We start from the raw sequence: 10,120 nt of genomic DNA, 5'->3' as shown, positions 1-10,120 counted from the left end.
CCTGAGTCCCAGCCACTTGGAAGGCTGAGGCAGGAGAATCACTTGAATCTGGGAGGTGGAGGTTGCAGTAAGCCTAGATCACACCACTGCACTCCAGCCTGGGTGACAGAGCGAGACTCCATCTCGAAAAAAAAAAAAAATTCCTAAGCACATCTGAGGCAAATCAAATGATGCGTATCTCTAAAATGGGCAAGAGTTACCTTTAATTCCTCCCTGTTTTTGCTTGATGGGTTATGTTCACCATTCCTTGTATATTTGGTAATTTTTAATTTAAATCATTTATATTTAATACAATTTTATGAAGTCTTCACTTGGCTCTTCATCTTTCAGGTCTCAGTGTGGTTCCTATATGCTCTTGTATTATTCTGTACTCCTCCAATTAGAGTACTTACCACTTTGTGCTGTTATTGACTGTTTTCCTATCTATATCCTCCATATGATTACAAGCTTCACAAGGGCAGGGGTGCGCCTATCTTGTTCATCATTGCATGCCATTCTCTCGCATTAGGCTTGGTGCAAAAAAGATGCTCAGTAAATATTTGTTGAATGAATGCATGAAGGAATGTGTAGTTTGCTATGTATATGATACTGTGCCAAGTTACTGCAAGACTGACTCTGGGCCAGGCACGGTGGCTCATGCCTGTAATCCCAGCACTTTGGGAGGCCAAGGTGGGTGGATCAAGAGGTCAGGAGTTTAAGACCAGCCTGGCCAACACGGTGAAATCCCGTCTCTACTAAAGATACAAAAAAAAAAAGAAAAAATTTAGCAGGGCATGGTGGCATGCACCTGTAATCCCAGCTACTTGGGAGGCTGGGGCAGGAGAATCACTTGAACCTGGGAGGCAGAGATTGCAGTGAGCCGAGATCATGTCATTGCACTCTAGCCTGGGCAACAGGGCAAGCCTCTGTCTCAAAAAAATAAAATAAAGACTGACTCTGATCTTTAAAAAGTTAGAATGTGGTAGGGTCAATGAGACCCAGAAACACAAATCCTGGAAGTAAATCGCAGAGTGTACTGATTAATATTAGGTGTATTATATTAATATTGGATTGAGGGATGCCTAGATGGCTGGTTCCTGGGTGTGCCTGTGAAGGTGTTGCCAGAGGAGATTGACATTTAAGTTAGGGGATTGGGAGAGGAAGACCCACCCTCAATGTTGTGGACGGGGCACCATCCAATGGGCTGCCAGCGCAGCTAGAACAAAGCAGGCAGAAGGGGGATTAGCTTGCTTGTTGATTCTTCCAGCTCTTTCTCTCTTCCAGTGCCGGACACTTGCTTCTGCTCCTCCTAACCTTGTACATCAGACTCCAGGCTCCTTGGCATTGGACTCAGACTCTGAGAGCCTCCTGAGGGCTCTCAGGCTTTCACTGAGAGCTGCACTGATGACTTTTCTGGTTTTGAGGCTTTTGGACTTGGACTGAGCCACGCTACCAGCCTCTCTCTCCCACCAGCTTGCAGATGGCCTATTGTGGGGACTTTGCCTTATAATCACGTGAGCCAATTCTCCCTAATATAAGCTCCCTTATATATACCTCCTATTGGTTCTGTCTCTCTGGAGAACCCTGACTAATACACAAAGTGAGAGAATTGTCATATGAGATAATACAACAAATTATTCTGATGGTGGTGGTGAAGAGGAAGGAGGGGATTTGGACAAATTCTTTGGAAGAGGCTGAGTTTAGATTTGGCCTTGAGAGGATGGGTGGGGTCTTGATAGATCAAGATGGAGCAGAGTGGAGGCTTGGGAGAGAAAGACAATGTGGTGGTCATTTACTGTTTTGGGACACCCAGATCCATTCACCCTACTTTTAGTAAGAGCTCTTGATTTGTTTTGGAAGCCCACCGCAATGCTCACCTTGGGTCCAAAGGACCTGAAATGAGGACTTAGATGTGGCCGGGGATCAGGGCTTGCCTATGGGACTCAGGACTAAATATTAAAGAAGAGTTGGACAGATATTTCACAAAAGAAGGCGTAACAATGGGAAATAAGTACATAAAAATATGCTGGATTGATTATAGACTGGAAGCCAGGACCTTAGCTCTCTCTCCCATCTTGCAAGAAAAAGATGAGAAGCCCGATACCAAGGAGGTGAAACCTGAAGGCAAGAAGGTTGATGCAGGTGGCAAGGTGGAAAAGGGTAACCTGACTCAAGGCTGAAAAAAACCAACAAGGGGAAGCCCCACTGCAGACAAAATCCTGTCCTCTTCAGAGGAATTGGCAGGTATTCCCAATCTGCTGTGCATTCCAGAAAGACCATGTACAAGAGGAAGTACTCAACTGCTCAATCCAGGGTTGAAAAGCAAGAGGACTGTTCTTGTCACTGTTAATAAACCAGTTGCTGGTGACAAGCATGATGGTACCTGCGTGGTTAAAATTTGCAAATTGCCTAGGTACTGTCCTCTTGATGATAAGCCTGGGGAGCTGTTGAACCAGGGCAGAAGCCCTACCAGCCAGCACGTGAGAAAACGGGGCCAGCCTCTCTCCCAGGACCACTCTGCTCATCCTCACTGGGCACTGCAGAGGCAAGACAGTGGTTTTCCCGAAGCGACTGGGCACTGGCTTGTTACTTTTTACTGAACCTCTGATTCTCAATTGAGTTCCTCTGGGAAGAGCACACCAGAAATTTGTTGTTTCCACCTCCTCAAAAATTGATATCAGCAATGTGAAAATCCCAAAATAGCTCACTGATGCTTACTTCAAGAAGAGGCAGCTGTGGAAGCCCAGACACCAGGAAGGTGCGATCTTCAACACAGAAAAAGAGAAATGTGAGATTACAGAGCAGAGCAAGCCCTGGTCCCCGGCCACCTCCAAGAAAGCTGTGGACTCAAAAATTTTGGCCAGGCATGGTGGCTGACACCTGTAATTCCAGCACTTTGGGAGGCCAAGGGCAGGAGTTCAAGACCAGCCTGGCCAACATAGAGAAACCTCGTCTCTACTAAAAAAAAAAAATATATATATATATATATATATATATGTCAGCCAGGTGTGGTGGCAGGTGCCTGTAGTCCCAACTCCTTGGGAGGCTGAGGCATGAGAATCTCTTGAACCTGGGAGGTGGAGGTTGCAGTGAGCCAAGATTGTGCTACTACACTCCAGCTGGGGTGACAGAAGGAAACTCTGTCTCAAAAAAAAAAAAAAAAAAAAAAAGCTATTCTTCAGCTCCAGGGCTACCTGTGATCCAAGTTTGTCCTGGAGAATGGAGTTTATCTTTTAAAATTGGTGTTTCAAGTTTCTTACAACTAGATGCAGTAGCTCACACCTGTAATCCCAGCACTTTTGGAGGCTGAGGCAGGTAGATTGCTTGAACCCAGGAGTTCAAGACCAGCCTGGGCAATATTGCGAGACCTCACCTCTAAAAAAAATACCAAAAAAAAAAAAAAAATTGGAAGGGCACAGTGGCTCACACCTGTAATCCCAGTATTTCGGTAGGCCAAGGCGGGTGGATCACGAGGTCAGGAGTTCGAGATCAGCCTGGCCAACATAGTGAAACCCCCGTCTCTACTAAAAATACAAAAATTAGCCAGGCATGTTGGCGTGCACCTGTAGTCTCAGCTACTTGGGAGGCTGAGGCAGAAGAATCGCTTAAACCCAGGAGGTGGAGGTTGTGGTGAGCCGAGATCACACCACTGCACTCCAGCTTGGGTGACAAAGCGAGACTTTGTCTCAAAAAAAAAAATTAGCCAGGGTAGTAGCACATGCCTGTAGACCCAGCTGCTTGGGAGGCTGAGATGGAAGAATCACATGAGCCTGGGGAAGTTGAGGCTGCAGTGAGCTGTGATTGCGCCAGAGCACTGTAGACTGGATGAAGAAAAGCCCTAAAAAACAAAAATGAGTTTCTTGGAATGAAACTAATTAAAGAACAAACACATTTTATTTTTTATTATTATGATTTTTGAGACAGAGTCTCACTCTGTTGCCCAGAATGGAATGCAGTGGCATGATCTCGGCTTACTGCAACCTGTGCCTCCCGGGTTCAAGTGATTCTCCTGCCTCAGCCTCCCGAGTAGCTGGGATTACAGGCGCATGCCACCAGGCCCAGCTAATTATTTTATTTTTAGTAGAGACAGGGTCTCACCGTGTTGGCCAGGCTGGTCTTGAACTTCTGACCTCAAATGATCCACCTGCCTTGGCCTCCCAAAGTGTTGGGATTACAGGTGTGATCCACTGAGCTCAGAGAACAAATAAAGAAAGGAAGGAAGGAAGGAAGGAAGGAAGGAAGGAAGGAAGGAAGGAAAGAAAGAAAGAAAGAAAGAAAGAAAGAAAGAAAGAAAGAAAGAAAGAAAGACAGGAAGGAAGGAGAGAAAGCAAGCAAGCCGCACGCGGTGGCTCACGCTCTTTGAGAGTCCGAGGCAGGTAGATCATCTGAGGTCAGGATTTCAAGACCAGCCTGGCCAACATGGTGAAACCCCGTCTCTACTTTTAAGTACAAAAGTACTTTTAAATACAAAAATTAGCTGGGTGTGGTGGCGGGCGCCTGTAATCCCAGCTAGTCAGGAGGCTGAGTCAGGGAGAGTTGCTTGAACCCAAAGGTGGAGCTTGCAGTGAGCCGAGAACGTGCCACTGCACTCCAGCCTAGGTGACAGAGCGAGATTCCATCTCAAAAAAAAAAAAAAAGAAAAAAGAAAATATGCATATTGAGGAAATGCAAATTAAAATGAATGAGGTAGCCTGGACAACATGGCAAAAACCCCTCTCTACAAAAAAAAAAAAAAAAATACAAAAATTAGCCAGGCATAGTGGCGTGCACCTATAGTCCCAGCTATTCAGGAGACTGAGGCAGGAGAATTGCTTGAGCCTGGGAGGTTTAGGTTGCAGTGCGCTGAGATTGCGCCATTGTACTCGAGCCCACGTGATAGAGAGAGATCTTGTTTCAAAAAAAAAAAAAAACGAGGTGCTGTCATACCCCCACTAGAACAGCAAAAATTTCAAAGGCAACAATACCAAATGCTGGAGAGTATGTGGAGCAGCTGGAACTCTCATAGTCATACTTTGATGATTGAGGTACAAAATGGTACAACCGGTTTGAAAAATTGTTGGCAGTTGAATTCATATATACATGTAAAATAATCCAGGATTTCCCCTCTTAGATATTTACTCAAAAGAAATATATATATTATATCTATATATATCTACAAGAATGTTCATTGCAGCTTTATTCCTATGGCAAAACATTGGAAACAACCCAAATAAAATGATGGTTTTGATGAACAAAATGTGTCGTGTCCATCCAATGCAATACTACTCAATAATAAAAAGAAATTCGACAACTTGGATGAATCATTAAAACATTTTGAGTGAAAGAAGCCACACACAAAAGATTACACACTTGATTCCATTTATATAAAGTTCAAGAACAGACAAAACTAATGTAAGGAGATAGAAATAAGAATAATGGTTGCCTGTGTGCTCAGAAGTGGATCAATAAGAAAGGAGCCTTAGAGATTTTGATTTGGGATATTGTTGTACATATTTGTTAAAATTCATTGTACACTTAAGATCTGTGCACTTTTCTATATGTAAATAATACCTCGATTTTAAAAACCAGAAAATTTAGAAAAAGTTAAAAGAAGAAGCCGGGCGTGGTGGCTCACGCCTGTAATTCCAGTACTTTGGGAGGCCGAGGCGGGCAGATTACTTGAGGTCAGGAGTTTGAGATGGTTTGGCCAACATGGTGAAACCCCATCTCTGCTAAAAATACAAAAATTAGCCAGACATGGTGGCGGGTGCCTGTAATCCCAGCTACTCTGGAGGCTGAGATAGGAGAATCACTTGAACCTGGGAGGTGGAGGTTGCAGTGAGCTGAGATCGCACCACTGCACTCCAGCCTGGGCGACAGAGCAAGACTTCATCTCAAAAAAAAAAAAAAAGAAAAATTTAAAAGAAGAAAAACTCTCCCACTCAAAGAAAATCACTATTGATATTTTGGCATAGTTCCCTGTTGTATTTTTATTTTATGTATGCTGATTTTAAAAAGTAGAGATGATGCAGGGCGCGGTGGCTCATGCCTGTAATCCCAGCACTTTGGGAGGCCAAGGCAGGCAGATCAAGAGGTCAGGAGATCAAGACCATCCTGGCTAACACGGTGAAACCCCATCTCTACTAAAAAATAAAATAAATACAAATAAATAGATAATAATAATAATAAATAAAAATAAAAAAGTAGAGATGTAATCATCCTTATATTTAATATTTTGTCCCTTTTCAGTTAATATTATAGGCATTTCCCATGCTATAACATGGATTACAGAAAACATTGTTTTTAATGGCTGTGTATTCACCTGAGTGGCTGTACTATGGCTCACTTTGTCACCATCTGTTCTTGCCTGTGGCAGTGTCCTGACAATAATGTCCAGGTTTCTAGCTTAAGCCACTGAATTATTCCCTTAGGAAAAATTCCCAGCTATAGAATGAATGGGGCTGGGCATGGTGGCTCATGCCTGTAATCCCAGCACTTTGGGAGGCTGAGGCAGGCTGATCATGAGGTCAGGAGTTCGACACCAGCCTGGCCAACGTGGTGAAACCCTGTCTCTGCTAAAAATACAAGAAAATTAGCCAGGCGTGATGGCGCATGCCTGTGACCCCAGCTACTCGGGAGGCTGAGGCAGGAGAATCGCTTGAACCCGGGAGGCGGAGGTTGCAGTGAGCCGAGATCACGCCATTGCACTCCAGCCTGGGCAACAGAGTGAGACTCTGTCTTAAAAAAACAAAAACAAAAACAATGAACGAGTCAAACAGAATGAGCACTTTTATGTTTCTTGATACATATGCAGTATAAACAGTGTAAACATTGGTTTTAGTGACTTAGAAAGAGGCAAGCACATATGTATAAAGTGGTAACAGCAAACGCCAGCCATTCTGTAGTTTTAAAAGTGCATATTCTAGCCAGGCGCGGTGGCTCACGCCTGTAATCCCAGCTCTTTGTGAGGCTCTTTGGGAGGCCGAGGCAGGCGGATCACGAGGTCAGGAGATCAAGACCATCCTGGCTAACATGATGCAACCCCGTCTCCACTAAAAATACAAAAAAATTAGCCAGGCGTGGTGGTGGGTGCCTGTAGTCCCAGCTATTTGGGAGGCTGAGGCAGGAGAATGGCGTGAACCCAGGAGGCAGAGCTTGCAGTGAGTCAAGATTGTGCCACTGCACTCCAGCTTGGGGGACAGAGCGAGACTCCGTCTCAAAAAAAAAAAAAGTGCGTATTCTGTATTACCCATAAGCCCAAATCCACTTCTGGGGTCCCCAGTCTCTAGTTTGCTGTGTGTTTTCTACGGGAGTCAAAGAGACATATACTTCCAATGAAGCAAACTATTCATTGCCACCTGTGGGGATAGCACAAATGTTCTCACAAATGGTGTCAATCTCCTTTGAATTTTTTTTCTTTTGAGAAAGGGTATTGCTTTGTTGCCTAGGCTGGAGTAAAGTGGTGTGATCATGGCTCACTGCAGACTCAAACTTTTGGGCTCAATTGATCCTCCTATCTCAGCCTCCTGAGTACCTGAGATTACAGGCATGTGCCACCACACCTGGTTAATTTTTTACTTTTTGTAAAGATGGGTATTGCTCTGTTGCCTAGGCTGGTCTTGAACTCCTGAGCTAAGCCATCCTCCCACCTCAGCCTCCCAAAGCACTGGGATTACAGGTGTGAGCCACCACACCTGGCCCTACTTTTAATTTGTGGAATTAAAAAAACATTTTTATATGTCAAAATTGTTAGATTTACATTCACAAGTCCACATTTGTCTAAGAGCTGCAGGCTTAGTAGCTTATTGTTTAGCTCAATTCCCCTCTTCCTGAAATGTTGTACCTCCAGTTACCGACTCATTCCAGGAAAAGACTGTGACCTTGAAACGGACTCTTTCTTGTCTAGGATTCTTCTTATTATTTTTTTAATTTTCTTCTTTTAATTAATTATTATCATTATTATTTTTTTGAGACAAAGTCTTCCTCACCCAGGCTGGAATGCAGTGGCGCGATCTCTGCTCACTGCAACCTCCGCCACCCGGGTCAAGCAATTCTCTTGCCTCCACCTCCCGAGTAGCTAGGATTACAGGCACAGGCCACCACACCAGCTAATTTTTGTATTTTTATAGTACAGATGGGGTTTCACCATGTTGGCCAGGCTGGTATCAAATTCCTGACCTCAAGAGAGCCACCCATCTTGGCCTCCCAAAGTGCTGGGATTACAGGCGTGAGCCATCTAGGCCTTGTCTAGGATTCTTTGCCTGCTTGTCCTCTCAGCACCAGTTTTTCCCCGTCTTGGGACTCCTCACTCAGTATCGTCTATGGAGAAGGCTATGAAAAAAGCCAGGAGGAGAAGGAGGTGATTGGCCTGTGTCAAACACTTTACATACATTTTCTCATTTAATTATCACAACTGTCCTCTGACGTGGATATTGTTATTCCTATCTCTTTTTTTTTGTTTTTTTTTGGAGATGGAGTATTGCTGTGTCGCCCAGGCTGAAGTGCAATGGTGTGATCTTGGCTCACTGCAAACTCCGCCTCCCGGGTTCAGGCGATTCTCCTGCCTCAGCCTCCCGAGTACCTGGGATTACAGGCACACGCCACCACACCTGGTTAATTTTTGTATTTTTAGTAGAAATGGGGTTTCACCATGTTGGCCAGGCGGGTCTTGAACTCCTGACCTCAGGTAATGCACTCACCTCAGCGTCCCAAAGTGCTGGGATTATAGGCGTGAGCCACTGTGCCTGGCTGTTATTCCTATCTTACAGAAGAGGAAACTGAGGCTTAGAGAGTTAGGGTAACCTGGTTATCGTAGAAATGGTTGCTCAAATAATAGATGTTTGTGGTCTGAAGACAAAACAGCAAGTTAGTTCTTGTGCTTACTCCCCAGGATAGCAGCCCCTCCCTGGAAAGTCCCTGGGGCTCCGGGAGATGGAGATAAGGATGCCACAGTTTCCAGGAAGAGGCTGAGGCATACTCGCATGCATTAGCAACAGCAATGTCAAACGCCAGTTGTCTAGTAGGTCAGTTTTGAAGAATAAAATATTGGTGGGGCGGCTGAGAATTAGGTCACATCTACACGAGTCACTCCAGTGCACACATTGTTTTACCCTTCAGCCAAACTGTGGTTCCATCAGGATGGTTGGAGTTGAACTAAATGAAAATTCACTTTAAACCAAAAAAATAAAATGACTGACTCTCATGCTGCAAATGCTGCCATATTTCTTCCTTTGAGCTGCACCTTCGTGTCTAAGTGATAGATATATTTTTTCCAACCAGGAAGTTAGAATGGTAGAGGGCTTTAGAGAGTCAAGGCCTACTCTGGGAGGGGAAGGAACATACAGGGAGTTTAGTGACAGTTCCAGGTCTAGATTTTCAGACTCTTTTTTTTTTTTTTTTTTGAGACGGAGTCTTGCTCTGTCACCCAGGCTGGAGTGCAATGGCGTGATCTTGGCTCACTGCATCCTCCGCCTCCTGGGTTCAAGCAATTCCCTTGCCTCAGCCTCCTGACTAGCTGGGATTATAGGCACGCACCACCACGTCTGGCTAATTTTTGTATTTTTAGTAGAGACGGGGTTTCACCATATTGGCCTGGCTGGTCTTGAACTCCTGACCTCGTGATCCGCCTGCCTCGGCCTCCCAAAGTGCGCCACCGCGCCCGTCCTGGACTCTTTTTTTTTGATTTTTCATTTGAGATGGAGTCTTGCTCTGTTGCCCAGGCTGGAGTGCAATGGCACGATCTTGGCTCACTGCAACCTCCGCCTCCAGGGTTCAAGCGATTCTTGTACTTCAGCCTCCCAAGTAGCTGGGATTACAGGCGTGCGCTACCACACCTGGATAATTTTTCGTATTTTTAGTAGAGATGGAGTTTCACCATGTTGTCCAGACTGGTCTCGAACTCCTTCTCTCAAGTGATCTGCCCGCCTCGGCCTCCCAAAGTGCTGGGATTACAGGTGTGGGCCACCATGCCCGGCCAATTTTTGGACTCTTCTATGCCATATTTCTCCTAGAGGAGAAACATATATGGACACCTTGGGTCTTCTGGGGAGTGTTTCAAGGCATACCTCTGCCACATGGTTTTTCTGCCCAACGTTTGCCTCCCGACTTGAGACAGAGCTTCCTAATCGTTCTCCTGGGGAGGTCCATATAGAGATGATAATAT

The 10,120-nt window shown here is 45.0% G+C and overlaps 1 pseudogene, besides 2 other annotated features; it reads left to right on the top strand.

Annotated features, from left to right (window-relative positions):
* Positions 1,322–1,524: a silencer, noted in NCBI's record as "fragment chr6:15104898-15105100 (GRCh37/hg19 assembly coordinates)". NCBI's record gives its function as "represses an EF-1alpha promoter that drives an FKBP-Casp9 reporter gene in an ReSE screen in HepG2 liver carcinoma cells {active_cell/tissue: HepG2}" and the evidence as "EXISTENCE:reporter gene assay evidence [ECO:0000049][PMID:32094911]".
* Positions 1,980–3,245, top strand: RPL6P17 (ribosomal protein L6 pseudogene 17; annotated as a pseudogene).
* Positions 9,683–9,920: a silencer, noted in NCBI's record as "fragment chr6:15096502-15096739 (GRCh37/hg19 assembly coordinates)". NCBI's record gives its function as "represses an EF-1alpha promoter that drives an FKBP-Casp9 reporter gene in an ReSE screen in HepG2 liver carcinoma cells {active_cell/tissue: HepG2}" and the evidence as "EXISTENCE:reporter gene assay evidence [ECO:0000049][PMID:32094911]".

This window comes from Homo sapiens, chromosome 6 (assembly GCF_000001405.40).
Source record: "Homo sapiens chromosome 6, GRCh38.p14 Primary Assembly".
Lineage (NCBI taxonomy): Eukaryota > Metazoa > Chordata > Mammalia > Primates > Hominidae > Homo > Homo sapiens.
This window is presented reverse-complemented; position numbering and strand designations above follow the sequence as displayed.